This window comes from Homo sapiens, chromosome 8 (genome assembly GCF_000001405.40).
Source record: "Homo sapiens chromosome 8, GRCh38.p14 Primary Assembly".
Taxonomy (NCBI): Eukaryota; Metazoa; Chordata; class Mammalia; order Primates; family Hominidae; genus Homo; species Homo sapiens.
Window position 1 is genome coordinate 54,283,488 of NC_000008.11, and position 26,955 is coordinate 54,310,442.

Sequence of the window (26,955 nt, forward strand, 5' to 3'; positions counted from 1 at the left end):
TTTTAAAATAGTAAAACTATAGGATCAAACATGTTGATAGGAGATAATAATATTAAGAATAATAATGATTGTAATGGTGATGGCTAGTTTTTTTTTTTTTTTTTTTTTTTTTTTGAGATGGAGTTTTGCTCTTGTTGCCCAGGCTGGAGTCCAATGGCACAATCTCAGCTCACTGCTTGAACCTCCACCTCCTGGGTTCAAGCGATTCTCCTGCCTCAGCCTCCTGAGTGGCTGGCATTACAGGCACCTGCCACCATGCCAGGCTAATTTTTGTATTTTCAGTAGAGACAGGGTTTCACCATGTTGACCAGGCTAGTCTTGAACTCCTGACCTGGTGATCTGCCCGCTTCAGCCTCCCAAAGTACTGGGATTACAGGAGTGAGCCACCATGTCTGGCTGGTGACGGCTAGTTTTTTTATGCATTAACTCTAGCATCAGGCATGGTTCCAAGTACTATGCATGTATTGTTATATTATTAATTCTTACACCACTCTCATTAGGACAACATTATTATCGTCATCTAGGCTGGTATAGTTTTTTTTTAACTTTATCTTTTTCTATTATAAAATACACATTACATGAAATGTACTGTCTTAGCAATTTTTAAGAGGCATTAAATATATTCACATTGTTGTGCAGCCATCACCACCGTCCATCTCCACAATATGATCATCTTCCCAAATTGAAACTCAGTACCCATTAAACACTCACTCTCCTTTCCCTCCATACCCCCAGCCCCTGGCAACAACCACTCTACTTTTTGTCCCTGTGAATTTGACTACTCTAGGTACCTCATATAAGTGGAATCACACAGTATTTGTCTTTTTGTGTCTGGCTAATTTCACTTAGCATAGTATCCTCATGGTTCAACCATATTATAGTGCGTATCAGAATTCCTTTTCTTTTTAATACTGAACAATATTCAATTGCAGGTCTTCATCATGTTTTGTTTATCCATTCATCTATTAATGGACACTTGGGTTGCTTCTACCTTTTGGCTGTGTGACTAATGCTGCTATGTACATTGCTGTGCAAATAGTCTTTTCTTTTTTTTTTTTTTTGAGACAGAGTCTCACTCATCTCTCCTAGGCTGGAGTGCAGTGACGCTATCTCAGTGGCCAGGAGACCATCCTAGCCAACATGGTGAAACCCCGTCTCTACTAAAAATACAAAAATTAGCTGGGCGTGGTAGTGCACGCCTGTAGTCCCAGCTACTTGGGAGGCTGAGGCAGGAGAATCACTTGAACCCATGAGGCGGAGGTTGCAGTGAGCTGAGATCACACTACTGGACTCCAGCCTGGTGACAGAGCGAGACTCCGTCTCAAAAAAAAAAAAAAGAATCACCTTATTGTTCTTCACAAGAGCTGCACCCTTTTATATTCTCATCAGCAATGCACAAGGGTTCCAATTTCCCTACATCCTCTCCAAAACTTATTTTCTAGGCAGGTGCAGCTTGATAAATGCCTAGAAACTTGGAAATGGAACAGAATTGAAGCAATTTATGATATTCACAAATAAAAATCCTTACAGTACCAACTTTGGCAAAACATAACTTTGATGACAGATTCTTATGAAAAATTTTAATTTAAGTATTTGATTATTGCTATAAACATTGTTTTTAATTAATTAAAAGCTTTCAGTATGCTCGGGGAAAATGCGTGAGAGTTTTATGCTAAAAATGGCTAGGATTAATTTAAACCATTCCTCCTACGCAGGGCTGAGAAGCAGCCCATCGCCTCAAGCAGGGAGCCCATATCATCTGATATAGTTTGTGAGAAGCAAACTATTGTAAAGTCAGAGTTGAACAGAGCTTTATAAAATGAAAGTTTTGACAAAAAAGACATTAAAAGATAGAAAAAAAAAAAAGATCCAGCTGGGCGCAGCAGCTCACGCCTGTAATCTCAGCACTTTGGAGGCAGAGGTAGAAGGATTGCTTGAGCCCAGGAGTTTGAGACCAGCCTGGGCAACTTGGTGAGACTCCTTCACTACAAAATGTAAAAATTAGCTGGGCGTAGAGGTGTGCCTGTGGTCCCAGCTACTTGGGAGGCTGAGGTGGAAGGACGGCTTGAGCCCAGGAGGTCAAGGCTGTAGTAAGTGGTTTCGTGCCACAGCACTCCATCCTGGGCAACAGAGTGAGACCCTGTCTCAAATAAATAAATAAATAAATAATAATAGTAATAAAAGAGTTGTGGGAGTGAAATCGTCTTTGTTTAGAGAAGCTTTTTTTTCTTTTTTTCTTTTTTTTTTTTTTGAGACGGAGTCTTGCTCTGTCACCCAGGCTGAAGCGCAGTGGCGCAATCTTGGCTCACTACAAGTCCGTCTCCTGGGTTCACGCCATTCTCCTGCCTCAGCCTCCTGAGTAGCTGGGACTATGGGTGCACACCACCACGCCTGGCTAATTTTTGTTGTATTTTTTAGTAGAGATAGGGTTTCACCATGTTAGCCAGGATGGTCTCTATCTCCTGACCTCGTGATCTGCCCACTCGGCCTCCCAAAGTGCTGGGATTACAGGTGTGAGCCACTGCGCCCGGCCTAGAAGTTTTCAAGATCTGAAACAGCACAAGTCAAAACGGTTTCATTTCTTTCTGAAAAGTTTATTGGTGCAATATAGGCAGGCTCTTTGTTTTTTACATCCAGCCATATGAGTTAGTGGCCTGCTTTGTCCTCAACCTGTGAAACCAGCCTCTCAGAAATGCTCTAAAATCTTCAGAAAAAATAGATCTGCAAAATTCCTAATGCAATTGTCCTAGGCCTCACTTTAAAGCTGAGGTCTGAGGATGGCGACATGTTGCTAGGTGAATCCTCCTGGACCTGGCACACACTGGAGAAGGTTTCACCATGATAAAAGAAAAACTTCAGCTGAATTAAATTTAAAGCTGAGGCAGGAGTATCACTTGAACCCAGAAGGCAGAGGTTGTAGTGAGCCGAGATCGTCCCACTGCACTCCAGCCTGGGGGAAAAAAAGGAAAGAAAAGAAAAGAAAGGAAAAAAGAAAAAAGGAATTTAATTGAGCAATGAACAATTCGCAAATCAGGCAGTCCCCAGAATCACAGCAGATTCACAGAGACTCCAGGGGTGCCTCGTGGTCAGAACAAACTTATAGACAAAAAAGTTAAAGTGATGTACAGGAATCTGAAGTGAGGTACAGAAACAGTGAGATTGGTTACAGCTCTGTGTTTGCCTTATATGAATATAGTTTGAACACTCAGCAGTCTATGAGTGGTCGAAGTATGGCTGCTGAGATTGGCCAAGACTCAGCTACTGTTTTGGGTGCATACTATCAAGTTAGGTTTTCAATTTTGTCTGACTGTTAAGCTAGGTTACAGTTCATCCACAAGGACTTAAATATAGAAGTACAGGGTCCTTTTCAGGCCATATTTAGTTTGCTTTAACAAGCATTATTTAGTATTTTCTCTCCTTCAGCCAGGACTGAATAATGATTTGTTTTTTAAAAAATTAAGGTAAAATACACATAAATAAAATTTACCACCTTAACCATTTTTAAGCATACAGTTCAGTGCCCTTACGTGCACTCACGTTCTGTACAACCATCACCACCCACCATCTCCAGAAAGTGATCATCTTCCCAAACGGAAACTGTAACCATTAAACATTCTCTCCTTTCCCCAGCCCTTGATAACACCATTCTCCTTCCTATCTCCATGGATGTGACCTCTCTAGGTACCTCATGTAAGTGGACTCATATAACATTTGTCCTTCTGTGCCTGGCATGTTTCCCCTAGCATGCTGTCTTTGAGGTTTATCCATGTCGTAGCATGTGTCAGAATCCCTTTCCTTTTTAGGGCTGGGTAATAGTCCATTGCACGTACGTATCATATTTTGTTTCTCCAATTCATCTGTCAATGGCCAGCCCCTTAGGTCGCTTCTTTCTTTTGGCTATTGTGAATAATACTGCTCTGAACACAAGTGTAGAAGTATCTTTTGGAGTTTCTACTTATAGTTTGTTTGGGTATATATAACTATTGATTATTGTAGCCTAGAAAATGTTATTTTCAGTTTAATTCACCCCACTATTTCATTGAACAGCATCGTTTGTGTACCATGTTCATGTAAAAAATAGTGAAAAAGAGAACAGAGTCTAGCTTATGGAAGGCTTTCAAATTGACGAAGAAACATTATTTAAAATAATAATGGTAATATTTCATGTTATTGTTTTATTATATATGCCAGTGGTTTTATTATATATGCCAGTGGTTTTAAAGACTTTTAGCGTATTATCTAGGAAGCAAGCCCAACAAGAGCATTCATTCTGAATTCTCATTTTTCGAATATAGCTAAAACTTAAAAGTAGAAACTCTAGAGTTAGATGCTGTTGTGAGTGAAGGTAGCTCTGTCGCTTAATCAGGATGTTACCCAAAGCCACAGACTAACCTCTCCGTAAAATGGGTTTGTTACCTTGTGGTGTCATTGTGGGGCCAGGAAAGGGCCTGTCAAGGGGGCTTTCCCAGGCGACCTCAGAAGAAATGACCTGGTTGCCCTGGACAGTATGTCGCCATGGAGGACCCCACGTCAGAGGAGGACCCCACGTCAGAGGAGGACCCTGGTCCTGCCCTCAGCAGGGGCTGGCTCGCGGGTGGGGAGACCAGCCATTTTCAGTATCAGCCCTCAACAAGGGTTGTTATTTTTCCTGTCATGTTTGTTGGGGTCCAGCTCAAGTTTGTTTTTCTTGCAGAAAGGCAGGAAGGCCAATTTGGAACACACACAACTCACATGTCATCGGCGATGACTTGGCCCAGCGCTTGGCATTGGCTCCCTGACAGTTAAAAGGCCCAGGGTAGGCGAGCCCCATAGGCAGGGCCGAGGAACAAGGAAATGGAGGGAGAATACAAGATTCTTATCTGCTCAGCCCCTCCATTCTTTTCCCTGCTCACTCCCCCCCAGGGGACCTCTGGCTTCGGCTCACACTGGCTCCAGCCTGCAGGTCCCCTGTTCTGCAGCCGCCTCCACTTTCTGTCCACCTCTTCCTCTTACTGAATGTGTGAGGAAACAGCCCACCCTCAGGGAGGGAAAGCCTGATCCGCAGAGATCCATGCGTAGCCCTGTGGGAGGCAAAGGCAGGAAGAGGGAGAAACGGCATTTTCCAATTTGGACCCAAGACAACCCATGGTTATTTGAGAAAAGCTGGGTGTTTTTCCATCCAGACTTCAGTAGTGTTGGGAGTTGCCATGTAGAAGTTTCCACTGGCTTGAACTATACGGCTGTTCTGTGATGGAATGATGGGATCCTGCAGGTGTGTGCAGATGCTTCAGTAATGTTTTCCGGTCTTCCCGCGTAAAGACACTGGGCATTAGGAAGACTGAACCATAGCCTCACATCTTAGAGAAGAATTACTCCAAGTCCAGGGAGCCTTGTATGGGTAAAATTGGAAATTAAAAATACATATATAAGCAAAAATACTTCTAAAATATGTTCCAATATTCTCAGTAACTAAGTCTCCTTCAGTCAATCTACTAATATTTCAGGAGTCAGTGTTACTTTGAGAGCATTTAACCCCTCAAAGCATCAGTTTTCTCTCCAGTACAATGACTAATGGTGGAGCTTTTGCAGGGTTCTGAGAGAATTCAGAGAGACCATGCTTGGCATAGTTCCTAACACCTGGCAGCCTCCCCCCAAAAGACAGCTGCTTTTGTATTCCTATGTGCACATGGCTTCTGAAATAAAAGTATTGGCCGGAAAGCTGTCTTTAAAAAGTTATACTTTACCTGGGGGTATAAGACTAGCTCATTAAACATTCAAAACTATTTGTTGAGTGAACTAATACCTTTACAGTTCCTCTTTTGTGTATTTTATCTCTCAACTACACAATAAGGCAGAAACTGTTTTCCATTTCCTCGAGGTGAACTATGTCTTTCATGTAAGATGCTTGTTGTCAAGAAGTTTCCTTTTAGGATGATTAAACATGATCCCTGCTGCCCTGTGACATATCTCATTTGTTTATCAAGCTTTTCACAAATCATATAGCAGTCGTGGTAGACGATATTCCTAGAGACACTGCAGCAATGCCTCCTACCCCACAGGCTCTTTGCAGGGCGGCCTGGTCCGTCCTTGTCAAGAGCTGATGTCTCTTTCTCATCACCTTGAATCTGGACTGCTCTGTGATTGCTTTAGGTAATAAGCAGTAGAAGTCATGGTCTGGGACTGCCAGGGCTGAGGAAGGGCTGACAACTGTTCCTGTGTTCTTGGAAGTCGTGAGTCCCCATGGAAGCAGTCTGGCCACCGGATAAACCGTATAGGGAGGCCACATGCAGAGGGAGAGGGCTTGAGACTATGTAAGGAGTTCTGCTGTTCCTCGTCTCCGCTGAGCCCCGACCCTAGCTAACCTGCCTGCCAAACACATCCGTGTGGCGTAGCCACTGGCAAGACCAGAAGCAGCAGCACTCAGTCCAGGCCATGTTGCAGAATCGGGAACAAATAAATAAATGGTTATTGTTTAAGCTGCTGGGTCTTGGGGTGTTTTCTTATGCAGCAGTAGATAACCAAAACACTAGATAAACTGATGTTGATTGTAATTGAACTATTTTCTTTTCTTTTTTTTTTTTTCAAGATGGAGTTTCCTTCTTGTTGCCCAGGCTGGAGTGCAATGGCGCAATCTCGGCTCACTGCAACCTCCGCCTCTCGGGTTCAAGCGGTTCTCCTGCCTCAGCCTCCTGAGTAGCTGGGATTACAGGCACCCACCACCACGCCTGGCTAATTTTTGTATTTTTAGTAGAGACGGGGTTTTACCATGTTGGCCAGGCTGGTCTCGAACTCCTGACCTCAGGTGATCCACCCACCTCGGACTTCCAAAGTGCTGGGATTACAGGCGTGAGTCACTGCGCCTGGCCAATTGAACTATTTTCAAATGTTTAGTGAGAATAATATATAATAATATTTTTGCTTCATATATCTTTAGTTTATAAGTCAGATCTTAGTTTGACTCATACAACTTTATCAGCAAGATCTTGTGAAGACAATACACTTGACAACTTTATTAGTATTGTGTTTTTTTAGATTTACCAATTATATCTATCTTTTTTGTATTTTAATTCTCCCTTTCCTTTTCCTGGTTATTTTTATCACAGAATACAAGATATTTTCAAAGTGTTAATCCTAACTGGTCACAGTAAATGTTGGTCATTTTGACAGTTTTTAATGATCATTTTCTCTGTTCAAATTATTCAGGATATTTAGTACCTTTAAGCTCCCTTTTTAAAATTATTTTTTATTATTTTATTATTATTATTTTTTGAGATGGAGTCTCGCTCTGTCACCCAGGCTGGAGTGCAGTAGCACCATTTCGGCTCACTGCAACCTCTGCCTCCTGGGTTCAAGCAATCCTCCTGCCTCAGCCTCTTGAGTAGCTGGGATTACAGGCACCCGCCACCGCGCCCGGCTAATTTTTATATTGTTAGTAGAGATGGGGTTTGGCCATGTTGGCCAGGTTGGTCTCGAACTCCTAACCTCAGGTGATCCGCCCATCTCAGCCTCCCAGTGTGCTAGAATTACAGGTATGAGCCACCGTGCCCCACCTGGTTTCTTTTTTCTATTGAATTCTCGCTAAATTTTGATTTTTAAAATCATACTTTCATTCCTTTATAATTTTCACTAAGTCCAGAAATGCCATTTAAGTTCACTTGCAGTTCACAAGAGGGTTTTCCTTATCTTTATTAATTAGTTTCTATTTAGTTTATCAACAGTCTATTTCCTCTTCCTTATTGCTAAAATCATGATCCTTTTCTCTCTCTCTCTCTCTTTTTTTTTTTCTGAGACAAGGCCTTGCTGGAGTGCAGTGGTGTGATCATAGCTCACTGTAGCCTCCAACTCCTGGCCTCAAGCAATCCTCCCACTTTAGCCTCCCAAAGTGCAGGGATTACAGGCATGAGCCACTTTGCCTTCTCTTAATTTTAATAGTTTCCTTCTCTCCTGTAAAAAGTTTATCGTGAGCCGGGCGTGGTGGCTCATGCCTGTAATCCCAGCACTTTGAGAGGCCCGGGGGGTGGATCACTTGAGGTCAGGAGTTTGAGACCAGCCTGGCCAACATGGTGAAACTCCGTTTCTACTAAAAAAAAAAATACAAAATTAGCCAGATGTGGTGGCTTATGCCTGAAATCCCAGCTACTTGGGAGGCTGAGGCAGGAGAATTGCTTGAACCCAGGAGGTGGAGGTTGCAGTGAGCTGAGATTGTGCCATTGCCCTCCAGCCTGGGAGACAAGAGCAAAACTCCATCTCAAAAAAAAAAAAAAAAGTTGATTGTGAAATTGAGAATAGTAATGCAGAGGTGGATACTAGATAATACTTAATGCAAAAAACAAAAATCTGTGGTAGTGATAGTGAAGTCAATTATCCTTCAAACCATCATTTTAGCAAATTATTTTTGTTTTGGAGAATGCCAGGTAATGTCCCTATGGGGCGGGTGGAAGATGGGGTCAGTGGGGGCAGGCGGCTCCCAGGTGGGAGTGGAGTGGGTTGGTGCAGCATTACGACGATCCAACAGCTGGCAGTGAGGACTCAGCTCTGGGGGTCCTTGTCTTTGCCCAGTGGCATCATCATCCCTGGAACCTTCCGCTCCTACGTCCAAAAACTCCTGGCTTTCCCATTGTTCATGCCTCTAGCACCTCATCCTGTGGCGTGCTCCACAAGTCAGACAGACAGCCATCCAGACATCAGACCTATTCCACCATAAATGATGTCAACTTGCACAGTTCACAAACCACGTTTTATGATCATGCCTCTTATTTAGAAGTCTTAGCAAACAAGTTGTTATGGAGACAGAGGAAAAAAACCCTAGAACATTAAAAACTTACATTTATATCAAAGTTACTACTTCCTAAATAAGATACAATTAGTTTAAATTCATAAATGATTGTAGAGTTAGAATATTTTAGCATCTCTTTAAAATCGTAATTAATAGGTAGCATATAGCATTTACTATATATAATTTTATATACATATTAATTTTTTGGTAGGTTATTACAAATTGTTTCTAGATCAGGAGGCACACTGGCTATTTTGTGATCTCAGATATCTTTTTTTTTTTCTAGAATAGATACACATGTGGATAATGTAGAATTTCTAGATTATAGGTCACATTTTCCTGCTTTCGGCACGTCCAGTGACTTTTTATGGTATGCTGGGCATTAAGGATGAGACGTGGAGGTGTGTACATTAAGTTGTCTTCTTTTTTTTTTTTTTGAGATGGAGTCTCGCGCTGTCGCCCAGGCTGGAGTGCAGTGGCGCAATCTCGGCTCACTGCAAGCTCCGCCTCCCAGGTTCACGCCATTCTCCTGCCTCAGCCTCCCGAGTAGCTGGGACTACAGGCGCCCGCCACCATGCCCGGCTAATTTTTTGTATTTTTAGTAGAGACGGGGTTTCACCGTGTTAGCCAGGATGGTCTCGATCTCCTGACCTCGTGATCCACCCGCCTCGGCCTCCCAAAGTGCTGGGATTACAGGTGTGAGCCACTGCGCCTGGCCAAGTTGTCTCCTTTTAAAGGGTGTTGAATTTTGTCCTAGCCAGCAGTTAAATTATTAGTGGGTTTTCTCAGTCCTATCAGGCGGGTCAATTTCTGTTTTGTGCTTAGCCCCGCGATCTGGCTCTTACTCTAGGATGTGTTCTTTACCCAGAAGGCCTGGTCTTCCTGGGGTCTGAGTTGGATGCCTGCCATGGGCAGCAGCATCTTCACTCCGACTGCGCATGGATCAGACGTCTCCCTGCCTGATTGGCCTTCGGGGCCTCTGTGGAGCTCTCAGTCTGCAGCGGCTCCTCTCTGCAGGGCCCCCTAGAATTCGCTCTGTACTTGTGCAGTTCAGTTTTTTTGTGTGGAATGCTCACACAGACTTCAGCTACCTTCTCCTCCCCAGTCCTTTTCCTCACCATTCCAGCGGCTTCAGCTGCCCAGAATACCACTATCAACCTCCCCAGTCGTAGAGATCGGAGTTCTCTGCTTGGGCTCACCTCCCTGTGCTGAAGACTGGAGGGCGAGTCCCCCAGACTGAGTAAATTGGGCTCATTTTGAGTGGTTTCATCCTTTTCTTTAGGACTACCATCCTCTTCTTCCTCTTGTCCAGTGTTGCTTTATACACTGAGTAGTCCAAATGCTTTATACCTTGAGTAGTTGTATGCTGTTTACAGTAGGAGGCTGAGGCAGGAGCACATTTCTCCATCAGGGCTGGGAGCTGAAGTTTGAATTTCTAAATCACGGCAGTTGATGTTTGGGAGAAGTAGTGGAGGTTTCAGAATGGGACTACTCAAATTTAATTCAATTCTTTGGTATATATAATTTTTACAATATTTTCTGTAGTTTTATGGTCTTCAGTTTACATGAAATGGCAGCCTTTTATAGCCTGAAAGAATCTTAAAAATCTTTTCAGTTCCTACTTTTAGAGATAAGAAAACTGGGACCCCAAAGGGTAGAGATTTGTCAAGGTGAAAAGCTGGAGGAGTGGCAGAACTGACTTATTCTCTTCTCTTTGTTTACGAATTTAGTACCTCTCATGGAAGACAGAATTGCTTCTCTCCTTCTCTCATACACATACCCATTGTCTCTTATTTTCTTTTCATTTCCTCCTTTTCTTTCTCTTTGTTTCTGTTCACAAAAGGAAACATTTTCCCCCCTTTGGAAGACAAATACTAACATAGATTCTGGATGGCAGTGCAGTCTTTGAAAAAATGGATTGGTTTTAAGTAACAACAGAGAGGAATCTTCTATTAAACAATCAAACTTTGGAAACAGAAAAGGGAGGCAGCAACGATGACAGCCTTATTCTACAGGCTGTGTGAACATTTTCATATTTAGACTATTCAGGTTCAAATGGTGAACATATTTCTAGAGGTTAAAGAATAAATACTAGGTTTCTCTGCTGGTTAGAAACAGAAGCCATGCCAGGTATTTCAACCAGAGGGATTTAATCCAGGAAATCAGTTACAAGAGTGTTGGGAGGTTGAGAGAACAAATAGGCAATGTTGAGGTGGCTCAGATATTAGAAGCTGCAGCAAGCAGCTATTATCCTTAGAACTTGGGGAGCATAAGGGAAGAGGTGGTGTTGTCAGAACTTTGGAACTTAGAGAAAGGGTACCTTATGGCTGACCCTTGTGCCTTTGAGACAGATGCTGGGGGGCTAGTGCTTGGCCTCAGAGTCTGCTTCTGGGAGCATGGAGAAGCTGCTGCTGGGAGTGCCAAGAGGACTGGAGTCTTAGCTTCCCTCACTGCTAGGCATTTGGTAAGAGCTAGAAACAGAAAGGAAGTCCCTTCGGCTCTCTTCTTACCTAGGAGTTGGTGGGAAATGATGACAATCCAGCTGGTGAGGGGGTCTGGGGAATGTGGTTCGCTGAGTCCCAGCCTGCCTCAGAGTCACAGGGCAGTGTGGTGGTTCCTCAAAAAATGAAATAGAATTACCATGTGCCATAGACTACATGCTTGTGTCCCTGCACTTTCCGATGCTGAGCTCCAAATCCTCAGTGTGATGGCCTGTGGAGATGGGGCTTTTGGGAGGTAATTAGGTCATGAAGGTGGAGCTCTCATGAATAGGATTAGTGTCCTTATAAGAAGAGATATGAGAGAAATTATGTCTTTCTCCCCCTCCCTTGCAACCCACCCCATGAGAATACAACAAGAAGGCAGCACGGTGACTCAAGCCTGTAATTCCAGCACTTTGGGAGGCTGAGGGGGGGGTGGATCACCTGAGGTGAAGAGTTCGAGACCAGCCTGGCCAACATGGTGAAACCCCATCTCTACTAAAAATACAAAAATTAGCTGGGTGTGGTGGTGGGTGCCTGTAATCCCAGCTACTCAGGAGGCTGAGGCAGGAGAATTGCTTGAACCAGGCGGAGGTTGCAGTGAGCCGAGATTGTGCCATTGCACTCCAGCCTGGGCGACAGAACAAAAACTCCGTCTCAAAAAAAAAAAAAAAAAAAAAGAAGAAGGCAGCAGTGTGCAAACCAGGAGGAGTGTGCCAGCACCATATTTCTGTTGTTTAAGCCACCCAGTCTATGATATTGTGTTACAGTAGCCAAAATGGACTAAGACAGCATATAATCCAGTAATTACACTTCTGGGTTATGTGACACCAAAAAACAGAAACTATTAAACTGATACATGTACCCCCATGTTGATAGCAGCATTATTCACAACAGCCAAAAGGCAGAAGCAACCCAAGTGTCTATGCATGGATGGATGGGTAAACTACATATGGTATATACATACAACGAAACATCATTCAGCCTCAAAAGTAAGGAAGTTCCAACAAACACTGTGCCATGGAGAAACCTTGAGGACATTATGCTAAGTGAAGTAAGCAAGGCACACGAGGAAAAATATTGCATGATTTCACTTATATGAAGTACCTAACAGGGTCAAATTCACAGAGACAGAAAGGAGAACGGTGGGTACTGTGGCCTGGGGGAGAGGAAAATGGAGAATTGTTGTTTAATGGGTACAATGTTGTACAACAATCATCAGTATTCATCATCAGAATTTTCACTGTGAATGTACCTAATACCACTGAACACTATACTTAAAAATGGTTAAATGACAAATTGTATGTTAATATTTTACCACAAATGAAAGAAATCACAGACCTTAGTCGTGGAGTGGGGAGCTGAGAGAATTTGGTCAGTAACAAGCACAGTTGCTAATGACTCTTATCCTTACTAAAGCCCACTGTAGCTTAGGATGAAGTTGCCTTCTGCAATGGTAATTTCACTATCCTGTCAGAGTTTCCTGGTTCTAAGGCCTTTGCATTTGAGACATGGTATCACACTATAAATCAGGACACATTTTCATGTGCCAGGGAGTGTGCCCAACTTGTAAAGAATAAAGCACCACATCCTTTACATGTCACCATGTGTGTTTTTACAGACATGCCAGGCCTCAGGCACATTCCTCTGTCTTGTATGAGATTTATAACAGCAAACTTCATGTAAACACACAGGAGTAAGGTCATGCAAATATATTCATCTTTTCATTCAACAAATATTTCATTCAATAAATATTTACTGCTTGCCATGCACCAGAAACTTTTCCAGGGAAGCAGTGAACGGGAGAGCAAAACGGTGAACAATTTGCGTCTCCTGAGTACTTCCATTTTAGGGTGTTTGTGTATGTGTGTGTGTGCACACGCATGGATGTGTGCAGGGGATGGTAGGGGATGGTGGGTGGTCGTGGAGCGAATTATCTAGGCAGAGTGGATAACAAGAATCTGCACTCAGTGCTAAGTGGGGAAATAAAGCCAACAAGGGGCAGAGAGAGGGCGAGCAGGGCTGATGGGCTTTTCAGGGGAGTCTTAATGAGGGCCCTTCCAGCCAAGACTGGGACATGAGGGCATGTCTGGTGGAAGAGCACCCGGGCAGAGTGGTAGAGTGAGGAGCGGGGCAGAGTCCCCAGCACCCCTGGTGCAGTTGAGGAACAGCAGGGAGGCTGGTGAGACTAGAGTATGGGCATGGGGTTAGAGAGCAGGGCCCAAGTGGGTGTGGGGCCTCTTCCAGAGCCACGGAAGGATCTTTGCTTTTGCTGAGCGAGCGGGGAGCACTTGGGGCAATGGGGCAATGGGAAGAGCTAGGCAGAGGCAGGAGAATAGCTAGGACAGGTGGGTGAGGTCTGCAGGGCAGGGCAGGGCAGGGCAGTGGAGGGGGGGATGTAATTGGATTCAGGATATAGTTCGAACACAGAACCAACAGGATTTTCTCCTTGGATCAAAGATACTGAGTGTGATAAAGAGGCATCAAAGATGACTGGGAGATTCCTGGCCTGTTCTCTAGAAGAATGGGACTGCTGTTTCTGAGAGTGGAAACCCTTTGGGAGGGTTTGCTTCTGGCCAAGTGAGCACACCAGACCCCTGAGTGGAGGTGGAGGTGGGCAGTGAGGATAGTGATTGAGTCCCGAGTTAGGCATGATGGTGTTTGCAGCCTGGGGTTGGATGAGATCTTGGAGGGAATGGGGAGAGTTGGGGAAAAAATGAGGTTTAAGGTTTAGCCCTTTCTATTGGGCTCCAAGGAGTTTCAAGACCTTAGACTCATTGCTGAGCCTCTTGAGAATCTCTGCTTCTGTTTGTAAGAGAGGATAACAGCAGCCACCCCACCTCGCAGGGATACTATTATGATTACTGAGGTGATGAATGCATGGAAGCTGCTTACATGAGTTCCCAGTTCTGTCTCTCCTCTCCTAGCAAGAGAGCGGCAACAGGGTCCACAGAGCTACTCCAAAGCCATCTGATTGCAAACAGCCTCTAAAAGAAGTCTGGGAAAATTACCAGGGAGATGTTTCCCACCAGCTCTGCTGCTTCCCTTTCAAACCTTGCGTTTGGCCACTCTCTAGAGGTTGGTCCCTTTCGCCCATCTTTCAGAGACTTTCCTTTGCTGGTTTCCTACACACCCCCTCCCCCTTTCCAAAACCTAGCTGGGTTTCTGCTCCAGTTTTGCAAACACCATTCTCACCTAGGTGCCAAGATAAACTGGCCGGAGGTTACTGTTGATGGTGCTAGTGGGTATTTGGTTAACTTTCTCAATCAACTGGAGGTCACAGGGCCCACCCCGAAAAGTAGCTGCCCTAAAAACCTGCTATTCTCCATCAGTGGGTGGGAGGTGGGGAGGGGGTGGGAGATGAGAAACCAGGAAGTAGAGATTTCTGAGAGGATCTAGAAAAAGAGAGATCATCTACACTCTGTCAGGCGGTTTTCATGCATAACTGATAAAACCATGCTGTTCTTGAAATTAAGATAATGGCACTAAATAAGAGCACATGTAGACTAAATATACTAAATATACGATTGTCTCATCCTGATCAACCTGATAGACCTAACAATAGGTTCAGCACAGTGAGAAGGATGATAGTGTGCTTGGTCTTGCATTGCTTGTCTAGAATATTGTGAGAAAAAGTACATTAGTGCCAGAAAAATAACTTGAAGGTGAAGTGCTTTCTGACAGTACTTCCAAAATACACAGATTTAATGAAAAGAGGAAAAATTTAGTGAAGATAACACCAGCATTGAAAAACAAAGCCTGTTTCCAGGGAAACAGCAATTTTTTAAAATATTTTTCTTTTTAATGGAAACAGAATGTGACAGTGGACTTGAGAATCCCAATCCTTAAACTCAAGAGTCAGGAGTTGAGTAAATTCCCTTATTTTTATAGATTTCACAAATTAATTCAGAAGTCTGTTCTTGGCAAAGTTTACGCATTCTGAAATAATGATTTTTACAGTTTAAAATTTTGAATTTCCTAAGTTACTTTTCTATAAATGTCTTCTTTGTTTTTTATGATTATTAAAGCAAAAAAGGTGCCCATGTTCCCCCTGCCCCCCCATTTCAGAAAGCACTGAAAAAACAAAACCAAGAAAAGACTGATAACTTCACTGCATTACTAAGTGGGTTGACTATGTGCTTGTGACAATTTTAGTCATCACGCTGGTTATTTGTCCTTCGAAAATGTTTTCCTGGCTGGGTGCGGTGGCTCAAGCCTGTAATCCCGGCACTTTAGGAGGCCAAGGCGGGTGGGCCATCTGAGGTCAGGGGTTCGAAACCAGCCTGGCCAACATGGTGAAACCCCGTCTCTATTGAAAATACAAAATTAGCCAGGCGTGGTGGCACATGCCTGTAATCTCAGCTACTCAGGAGGCTGAAGCAGGAGAATCGCTTGAACCTGGGAGGCAGAGTTTACAGTGAGCCAAAATCGCACCATTGCACTCCAGCCTGGGCAACAAGAGTGAAACTCCGTCTTAAAAAAAAAAGAAAGAAAGAAAGAAAATGTTTTCCTCTGCCAGTTGGGATAATACCATAACTCTGTCTGGGAAGCTGCTTTTCTCACTGAGCAATGTGTTCCGAGCGTGTTTCCAGGCCAGCCCTCACCTGTGTTCTGGCCTCCAAGCCGAGGGCTGGGCTTCTGGGCTGGCTTGTCAATATTAACGAGGTTGGTAGAGTCCCTTGCCATGACAAGCTGATCGTGTAGTGAAGGATAAAGAAGAAGGAACCCAGAATACACTCCACAATGATGTAGCCAGGTGTCTGATAGAAGTCTGGCTTTGGGAAAAGGGATTTTCCAGGTAGGACTTGAAAGGTAAGTTAGAATTAGCCAGGCCAAGAGCAGAGGGTGCTCTGGGCAGAGAGGAAGGCTCTGGGAGGAGAGACCTCGGGGTTGAAGAGCTGGGTGGAGGTCGGCCTGGCCTGGGCAAGGGCTGAGTCAAGGTCAGAGGAGAGATAAGCGCCGAGGAGTATGTTGGGGAGTTCAGACGATCCTGAGTACCTTGAGAAACTCTGAAAGGGGGAGTCTGAGCGAGGGAATGACAATCAGATTTGGAGTTTGGAAAGATTATTCTGGAGTGTGGAGGGTGTTTGGGGACACCAGGGAGAGACAGTGACACCAGGGAGGGGGCCTTGGCAGAGTTTTAGGAGGTAGAAAGAGAGCAGGAGAGAGATTGATGCCAGCAACATTGAGGCAGTAGAAAGGAAAGGGCTTAGTGTTTGCGGTGGTGTGTAGCCTTTGAGGAAGGGCACGTTCCGCGGGGGGTGGGCTGTCAGCCACTTCAGACCACCTCTTGCCCCCCTGCTAAAGACTGACTGAAGCGGGGCAAGCCTTACAGACCAGGCGGCCCTGTGTTCCTGTGGCCTTTGGTGAGGCTGCTACTGGGCCTGTGTGGCAGCTCAACTTCACTCTGCCAGGTCTGCCTCGACCTTCCCCGAACTCCAGGAGCCCACCCAGGGGTACGCCGGAATAAAGCTCCGGTGCAGTAACCTCCATCTCGAGGCTGCTTCGTGGGGAGCCTGACCTGTGGCAGTGACTGCGAGCCACGCGGAGAGTTACTCACTGTAATCAAGAACTAATGGGGTGGGGATGGGGGGAAACCGGGAGGTAGGTGGCTTAGCGTGGGGCATGGGGACTTGGGGGCCAGGGGAGACATCCGGGAGGCGGGTCAACGAGGTCCATGGTTTTGCGGTGGAGTCTGGTTTGAAGTCTCCTGGGCAAAAAGGTATTCCTTGCCAGCCTTTCCTCCCAAATACTTCCAGTTTCTTAAATATACTTTGTTTTCATTTACCTCAGAGTCTTTATACAAGCTATTCCGCTGCCTGGAACATTCTTTTTTCCCTTGATTTCTTCTATTAATACTTTCTTCTCATTCTAAGGAAGTGACTTCCTCCAGGAAGTCATCCTGGACTCACCCGGCTCTAGTTCAGGGGCCTGACGAGCATCATGCGCCCGGCATTTCCCACATCACAGCCCTTGTCATGTGATGTTATAATTGCCTATTTTCTTCTTTGTGTTCCTCCCCAAAGTTTATAAACTTTGAGATAAGAGACTTTGTCGAAGTTGTTAAAGGCTTTATCAGCAGCACCTAGTGTGGTTCCCGATACAGGAGGTGTCAGGAAATAATTGTGGAGTGAACCAATGGTAATTAAAACAGACACTTGGAAAGAAGAGGAGGAATACATAGATTAAAGGTGAAGTCAGGAGCAGAAGAGGAAACAAAGATAGCAGGGGAGGGTGGCCAGGAGGTAAGGGTCATTTGTTCACTAAATTTAACCAGAATTTATTATCCAAACGTTGTTGGACATTTAAGTCCTCCCAACATTTTCTTAATAATTTGCTATGACAAACAATATCTTCATAAGCACCCTCCTACATGTAGATTTTGTGGATGTTTTTATATAATACCCATAGGATAAATGTATCGAAGTGGAAATTTCAGTGTCAAAGGATTTCCTGTTAAATTTTTGATATTTTTAGTGCCAATTTATCCTCCAGAAACATATCATTTTCTGCTTATTCCCAGCCCTGAATTATTTAACATTTTAAATATGAAGCTCTTGTTTATTTTGAAAACTGTGATAAAATATGTATAACATAAATCTACCGTTTTCACTGTTTTTAAGTGTGCAAGTCAGGGGCACTGATTACATTCATAATGTTGTACAGTCGTCACCACTATTCATTTTGAGAACCTTTTTTTTAAATCATCTCAAACAGAAACTCTGCGCCCATTATACAGTAACTCCCTTTCTCCCCTTCTCATTTGTTCCTGAGAATCATTTGCATTTTTTAGGAAGGAAGCTTGAGTTCATTGCATTTTCATCCAACGAGAGGAATGGCAAGTGACTTAAAAACTTCTGATTCTGCATTAGGCCAGCAACCTTGAACATGGGCAAGTAAGCATGTCTTTATGCCAAGGCATGGGGCATAATAATATACAGACTCACAATGCCATGGAATAGATAGCCTTTGGGGTTTCATAGACCCAGAAGAACATCTGTTGGTAACACTTAGGAGCTCCTCAGCCAATCTGGGGATATTTAATTATCTAATTATTTCAAATAAGCCAAGAATCACATGTTTAGGATTTTGGAAGCCTATCCCAAACTAGAAATAAGATACAGAAAGGTTCTCATTGTTTTTGCAGGTGAAACACTTAACCCTGAGTATCAATGATGTTGTAGCTCATCCAAGCACTTTTAAGGAGTGCTTACAATTTTTTCAGAAGTTTGTAAAGACAAGTTTAGTTTTTGCTCTGAAATGGTTTCCTACATTCGTGTTAAAGATTGCATTTAATGCTTATATTTCCACAATACCTTCTGGAGAGCGCTCATGGGAAGGCAGAATAACCTAAGGCTGAGACACTGTGGGAACCAGATGAGAATCTATTTGGGCCTTGATAGGGATCCTGAAGTTAAGATATGTGGAGACCCTTCAAACAATAGCAGTTTGCAGCTCTGCTAATTATTGGCTCTTGCCTATCTGTTACTGTTAGAATTACTGAGCAAAAAGGTATTGTATTGAAACCCTGGCTGAAACAAGAGGGAGAATTTATGGAGGATTAACTTTCTTTTATCTTTTTACCTTTTAAATAGGGTAATAGTCTCACAAACTGAATTAAAGGGAGGTGCTTTCTTAAAGGCTTTGAAGTTTTTCTTTACAAACAGAGTTGAATTTATTTGAGCCCTTTCCCTTCAAAGTAAAAGCCCCACAAGGAAATGATTTCCTTCATGCATTTCTTGCCCTTTGTGAATTAACAGGAGTTATACAGTAAAAGAGAGGGCCTAATAGGGAGTGGGGGCAAGTCAATCCCTCTAGAATATAAAATAAATGCTGATGGGCTCTTAAAATGACAGAACCATTTTTGTAATGATGAAAAGGTTTTCCTTCTGCATCTTGGAAGCATGAAACCCTGAGGATGAGGATAAAGCTAACAGAGAAAAAAATTCCAAAAATTGTATGCCCCTGAGGTGTGTGCATCTTCATCTTGTACTATTTATTTGTTATTTTAAAAGTAAATTTTATTGCATATATTTGGTGCTATTTAAATTCAGCCAAATGCTGTCCGATGGTGGGGCTTTCTGTATTTCAGCCTCTGAAAAAAATAAACAAGAAAATCGTGTGTAAATGTTTTAAGATAGCCAAAACTGATGTCTTACAAGTTACCAATTTTCATGGCCACCCTATCCCCAGAATAATTTTCCATTAAGAGTGTCCTCTGCAGCAGCCTCAGCTCCCCAGCCAGTTCTACCCCGCTGAGCTCTCCAACTGCACCTCCTTTCCAGGACTATTTCTTCATTTGCACAATGGGAATATAAATGTGGGGTAAGTCAGGAAGCTATAATACTACTGGGGCTAGAGGCATGGGAATAGAGAAGATGTTCACTTTATGCACTTTTGAAACATTTTGCATCATTTTATTTTATTAAAAAGAAAAAGTTGGGTGAGATGAAGCCATGTGTGTAGGTGTGCTGGCTCAACTTTTGTAGGTGACAGTGGGCGTGTCCTGGCTTGGGTCTGTTGTCAGCATGACATCGGGTGAGTGATGACATGAGTCTGGCTTCACCTTCTCTGATGGTAGAATGAGGGGTGTTGAGGGGCAGACGTCTCTTGGAATTTTGAAAGCAAGCATTACTTTCTTTGGAGTTGGGCTCTGGAGAGCAGGAAAGGATTGGGAACGTTTGTAGTGGCAGACAAGTTGCAAAGATAGTACAAAATGTTCCCATATACTCCTCACCCAGTTTTCCCCATTCTTAATCTCTCTATATATGTATGTGCATATTTTTCCTTTTGACTTAATTTCTTAAGTACTTAAGAGTATCTCAAGCCTAGACACTTTGCCAACTATCTAAAGCTCACCTCTGGATGTTCAGACACAAGTAACCTATTAATGTAACATTCTGAGGAAGTCCCTCTGGATCCTACTCCAATCTTGACTGGCTGCCCTTCCTGTCTGAGGATTCCCACTCCCTCCTCTGTGCTAGGTTTCCTGTTCCTAAAAGCCATATTTCTCTCTTCCTTGGTTTACTCATACATAAGCTTTTAAAATAGCTTTCTGAGAAAAAATACATGGGAAATAAAATTTTGCATGTCTAAAAATGTCTTTATTCTAGCTTCGTACTTGACTGATAAATTGGCTGCATACAGACTTTTCCTTTCAATTCCCACGCTGCTGTTGGGACATCTATAGCCATTATGATTATGAGCCTTTGAAGGGGATCTGTTTGTTTTGTTTATTTTTCCTTTGTGGAAGCATATGTCATGTTATCTTTGTTCTCAGTCTTTTCTTCCCGTGTGTATATGTATTCCTTGTTTTATACTACCTGTTCATGTTTCATGGTTGCAATATCGTCTCTTAGTTAATATTAGTTTTGGGGGAGAAATTTCTTCCCCCTGCACAGTCCCTTATTTCTTCCAAGTTGGTTTTTCTACTTGTTTTGGTCTCTGTTTCTGTCTCTGTCTCTATCTCTCTCTCTTTCTCTTTCTCTTTCTCTCCTTCTTTAATGATAAACCATTTCCTCGGGTGTTTGATAATCCTGGACAGGCAAAAAACAGTGGATTGGAAACTCCGACACACAAAGTTGTTACTGTCAGGAGATAGTCTGGACCCATAAGTTGAGCAACGTCTAATATAATTTTTAAAAAAGTGTTTCCTCCTGAGAAGGCCATATTCTCTAGCGAAGGCTGTTCTCATCTCCTGGCAGAAAGAGGAAGCCATCCTGCCAGTATTTTGGAAGCTGCACAGAGGAAGAGGAACCCGAGCTTCAGCAAGCAGTTCCCTTGTTTCACTATTGTAACCCACCTTTACATGTGGGGTGGCCCAAGCCAGAGACTTGGGTTAGCTCTCTTCAGGGAATAAACCTCCATTTTTTTTCCCATCTGGTAGGGGAGGGTAATTGGTTAATTGGAGATCTGATAGTTGCTTACGTAGACTTTCAATCAGTCACCTAGTTTCCTAAATATATCTAGGTCATCCATTTACCCTTCTTTCAGGTATCTGATATGGTATTTCCAGAGGCTGTGGAGGATTCATATTAATCAGTTTGATTGTCACCTCTCTCCATAGGACTATGCTGTCTTGGGTCTGCTGATTCATTTGTGACTCTCCGTCTACTTTCTAGCATCCAAAGTTATTGCTCTTAGCTCCTTTTTGTTCTCTCCTTTTCTGTAGATTTCTGTCTTAAAATTTATTTCTTCATTTTAGTGGAATTGCAGTAGAAATGATAATAGGTGCATGTATTCCACCTGCTATCTTTTTATTAGTGGTCTCTGTTATTATCATTTTCTCCCCTTGATGTCTTCACTTTTCATCCTATTACTTATCCACCTCATGATTAAGCGTTAGAAAAGAGTTCGCCAAATAATTTTACACTTCAATGACACAGAGACCAAGAAAAAGAAAGATTATTTGACTTAGAGCAGAGCTGAGAAAGTGGCAAGTCAAATGTCTTAATTATTCTTTTATTTTACTTTTTAAATTGAGACAGAATCTCGTTCTGTCACCCAGGCTGGAATGCAGTGGCAATCTGATCTTGGCTCATAGCAACTTCTGCCTCCCGGGTTCAAGCAATTCTCTTGCCTCCAGCCTCCCAGCTAGCTGGGACTACAGGTGCACACCACCACACCAGGATAATTTTTGTAATTTTTTTAAGTAGAGCCAGGGTTTTGCCATGTTGGTCAGACTGGTCTCGAACTCCTGACCCCAAGTAATCCACCCACCTCGGCCTCCCAAAGTGCTGGGATTACAGGCATGAGCCACTGTGCCCAGCCTTAATTATACTATTCAATGAATCTCCAGTCCAACAGCTAATGTCCTGTCTTATTTACATACTAAAGGTGTGGTGGTTGCTATCAACAGGCTCAAAAGTCCTCTAATAAGACAATTTCACAGAAAAAAAATTTTTAGGCAATTGTTTGCCTAGTGGAATAATACAGCATACATTCTATACAGGCAAAAGTTCGCTAGAATTTGTTGACTTGTATTTTCAACAGTGCCCTACCACTGAAAGTGGCAGTGGAGTTGCAATAAAAATAGTATTTAAAACACATTATAAAAGATAAAACCACTTTATAGTCTTAACTACTATAGTGTGATTTTAATCTGCTTAATGCTTCTCTCGAAAATAAACTGAAATAAAAGTTTTTGTATTTTTTGACATTTGGAACTATTTTTTTTTCATTAAAAATCAATTTATGTGAAATTGTGGTTTTCTTTTTCTTTTTTTTTTCTTTTATTTTTTGAGATGGAGTCTCATTCTGCCACCGTGGCTGGACTGCAGTGGCACAATCTAGGCTCACCACAACCTCTGCCTCCCAGGTTCAAGTGATTCTCCTGCCCCAGCCTCCGGAGTAGCTGGGACTACATGTGCACACCACCACGCCTGGCTAGTTTTTGCATTTTAAGTAGAGGTGGGTTTCACCATGTTGGCCCGGCTGGTCTTGAACTCCTGACCTCAGGTGATCCGCCTGCCTCGGCCTCCCAAAGTGCTGGGACTACAGGCATGAGCCACCACGCCCGGCCTATGGTTTTCTTTTATTTCCTCTTGATGCTTAAAAACCTTTTGAGACTCTGGGGAAAATTGTAGAAGACATGACTGCAAATACAGGGTGGTATGTCTTCAGTGATGGTGTGCCAGCCTCATATATTGAAAGTGAAGTTCCTGCTTCTGCATTTATTCATATGCTGGGTAATTTAAGCTACTAAAATGAAAGCAAATAAGAAAAATAAGGGAGAACAAGAATCAGGAAACAATGAAAAGTACTGAACATTTATTGAGTGCCAGTTATGTGCTAGGCATTTTCATGCATGTTGAAGTCTTTGCCTAGAGTTTTCTTTGTTGAACAAAAACCTCAGTGGGCTTATAACTGAGAACTTTGTATATAGGTAATGTGCTCTACCAGAAATTTAGTGTGAAGACTACTATTATTATAAGATAGCAACTATCTTCAAAGGAAAGATATCTGTAATTTGCTGTTAGAATGGCAATGTATTCTTTTAGGAACTTGCTGTGCAGAAATATATATATATTCATATATAAAGTCAACTCTTTGGCCAGGTGAGGTGGCTCACACCTGTAATCCTAGCACTTTGGGAGGCCCAGGCAGGCGGATCATTTGAGCTCACGAGTTCGAGACCAGCCTGGGCAACATGGTGAAACCCCGTCTCTACCAAAAATAGCTGGGGGTGGTGGCATGCACCTGTAGTCCCAGTTACTTGGGAGACTGAAGTTGGAGGATCGTTTGAGCCCGGGAGGCCCAGGATGCAGTGAGATGAGATTGCACCACTGCACTCTAGCCTGGGTGGCAGAGTGAGACCCTGTGTAAAAAAAAGAGTATAGTCAACCCCATTATTCATGGATTCTGCATTTGTGAATTCACATGCTTTCTAAAATTTATTTGTAACCCCAGGACCAATGCTTCTGGTTGCTTCCATGGCCATTTGCAGATGTGCTGAGGGGAACTTGAGCTGCCTGCCCATAAGGCAGAGCCAGGCAGTGCTCTGCATTCTTGCTTCAGCCCTCACACTGTGAGCACATGTCATTTTGGTAGTTTATTTTTTGGCATATTTTTTGCATGTTTGCACTTTTTGTTTTGGTGATTTCTCTGTTTAAGATGGCTCCCAAGCATAGTGCTGGACTGCTGTTCAGCATTCCTAAGCCCAAGAAGGCTGGGATGTGTCCTACAGAGAAAACACATGTGGTAGATAAGCTTCCCTCAGGCATGAGTTACAGTGCTGGTGGCGGTGAGTTCAATGTTAATGAATCAACAATATACAGTCATGCACCACATAATGACGTTTTGGTCAATGACAGACTGCATATATGATGATGGTCCCATAAGATTATAATAGAGCTGAAAATTCTTATCACCTAGTACTTAGTGCATGCCTTAAATCATTATTTTAGAGTATATTCTTTCTATTTGAAAAGTTGACTGTAAATCAGCCTCAGGCAGGTCCCTGGGGAGGTATCCAGAAGAAGGCATTGTTATCATAGAGATGACAGCTCCAAGCCTGTTGTTGCCCCTGAGGACAAGATGTGAAGGTGGAAGGCAGTGATAGTGATGATCCTGATCTTCGTAGGCCTAGGCTAATGTGTGTGTTTGTGTCTTAGTTTTCAACAAAAAAATTAAAACAAAAAAAACCTTTAAAAATTCAAAATAAAAAAGCTTGTAGAATAAGCATGTAAAGAGGAAAATACTTCTGTACAGCTGTATAATATATTTGTGTTTTACGCTATTACGAAAAGTCAAAACTTAAAAACATAAACTAAAAAGTTACAGTAAACTAAGTTTATTATTGAAGAAAAATATTTTATAAATTTAGTGTAGTCTAAGTGTGCAATGTTTATAAAGTCTATAGTAGTGCACAGTAATGTCTTAGGCCTTCACATTCACTCCCCACCCACTCATTCAGTCACCCAGAACAACCTGCAGTCCTGCAAGCTCCATTCATGGTGAGTGCTCCATACATGTGTACCATTTTTTATCTTTTTTTTTTTTTTGAGATGGAGTCTTGCTCTGTCTCCCAGGCTGGAGTGCACTGGCATGATCTAGGCTCACTGCAACCTCCGTCTCCTGGATTCAAGCGATTCTCATGCCTCACCCTCCAGAGTAGCTGGGATTACAGGTGTCCACCATCACACCAGGCTAATTTTTGCATTTTTAGTAGAGGTGGGGTTTTGCCATGTTGGCCAGGCTGCTCTCGAATTCCTGACCTCAGGCGATCCACCCACCGTGGCCTCCCAAAGTGCTGGGATTACAGACGTTAGCCACTACGCCCGGTTCATTTTTTGATCTTTTATGCTGTATTTTTACTGTACCTTTTCAATGTTTGAATACACATTGTGTTACAATTGCCTACAGCATTCAGTACAGTAACATGCTGTGCAGGTTTGTAGCCTAGGAGCAATAGGCTATACCACACAACCTAGGTGTGTAGTAGGTGCTACTGTCTAGGTTTATGTAAGTGCACTCTGTGATGCTTGCATGATGATGAAATCATCAAACCATACACTTCTCAGAACATATCCCCATTGTTAAGTGATACATGACTGTATATTATATAATGAGTCAATAAACTAAAAAACACATGACACTAGGTTATGTATATTAATCAACTGACAAAAATCTTGTGACCAGAGGCTCACAGAAACCTAACCTTTTATTTCCCCCAGGAGCAATGCTTCAATATTTTCTAATTCAGTGTTCCAAGTAACTTTATAAGACACAACTACTGTGAATAATAAGAATTGACATGTACACACATCCAACACTGTCTTCAAGAAAAAAAAATCAATTTGGGGAGATATAAAAATAAAGATAATGCAAATGGAAGCATCTGAGTGACACTCAAAGAAAACAACTCAAACACATTGGCAGCTGAATGGAGAATGAGTCCATCTATTGAACTAATTTTTGGTATTCAAGTAAAACTCTTTCCTGCCAATAAAATGGAGGGGTGGCACCTACTGCTTGGCTGCTTTCTGCCTTTTTTTTTTTTTTTAGTACAAACAAGGCTGTACTCAAAATATGGATAAACATATCCATGTGAATTTTATATAAGGTTCTCCCTTGTAGAATAATTTTTCCTCATTTTCCTCACGTAGCAAAGAGAATGTTTCTTTGATCTCTTCCTGCCATCTAGGCAGTGCAATTCAAACTGCTGTTTAATATCCTTTGCCCTGGTTTATGTTCCCTGAAAGTGACAGATCGTTCTGTTTGTAATCTGCATATAATCTGTATTTCTGCCAAGTTTCAGCTCTTGTTTTTCCTATTTAGCAGTGGACCAAAGTTTCAAGTGAAGCATTTAAAGCTGGAGTTTGCAATTCACAAATGAAAAAAAATTAACTTAAAAACGTCGTTCTTGGAGGAGTGAGACTTGGATTAATTTGACTTTTTCTATCATTTAACATGATATCAAATGCTTGAAGGAACTTCAGAAATTCTGGCAGAATATCAGCCAAGGCCTGGTTTTCTCCTGCTGCCTCTCTCCACTGTCCTCCTCTTCTTCTCCCTCCTGAGGTTCACAGAAGAGTCCATCTATAGCATAGATGTCATGATATTGAGTTCATTAATTCACGGTTTCTAAGACTTGATCAGTGATTTTTTTTCCTTTCTTCTTCTTTTTATTTCATATCTGGGGCCCTTCCATCGTCTCTCCAGGAGCACCCGTTAGCTCCCTTTGGCTGGCTCTCTCCCCTTCTCTCCCTCCCTTCCTTCTCTTCCCCTCACAGCGGGCTCATTAATCCAGTGCCTTTACCCCAAAACAATTAATCCCAGGTTTTCTTCAGATTTTCTGTGTGCCTCTGATTTCTCTACTCAGACTCTTCACTTTTTCCAATCAATTCCCAGTCATTTGTCTTCATGAGAGTCCATTTCCTATCTAGGATCACCTGGGTTTAGCTTTTGCCAGAGCATTTTTTTTCTACCAGACCCACAGGTGGTTTAAGGAGAATTTAGAACAGCGTATCTAAGTGCAGTTACTGCTGAATGATCTTGGGGTCAGTAGGCATGACTGAGAGGAGGAAGTCCATCAGCCCAGGACAATGAGCAGGTGGCTTTGGGCACAAGCAACCCACACAATTGTATATTTTCTTTGAGGTTGGCTGCCATTATATGATCTCAGTGTTATAACAGTAGACTGATTCAGTTACTCTTAAAAGCACCAAAATCTATTAAAAATAGTTTATAGAAGAAAAAAAGAAGGATCCTTAAACATAT

The 26,955-nt window shown here is 42.7% G+C and overlaps 1 annotated feature.

Moving 5' to 3' along the window:
• Window positions 6,212–6,712: an enhancer, noted in NCBI's record as "H3K27ac hESC enhancer chr8:55202259-55202759 (GRCh37/hg19 assembly coordinates)". NCBI's record gives its function as "activates a minimal SCP1, AML or CMV promoter by ChIP-STARR-seq in primed H9 embryonic stem cells {active_cell/tissue: H9 hESC(primed)}" and the evidence as "EXISTENCE:reporter gene assay evidence [ECO:0000049][PMID:30033119]".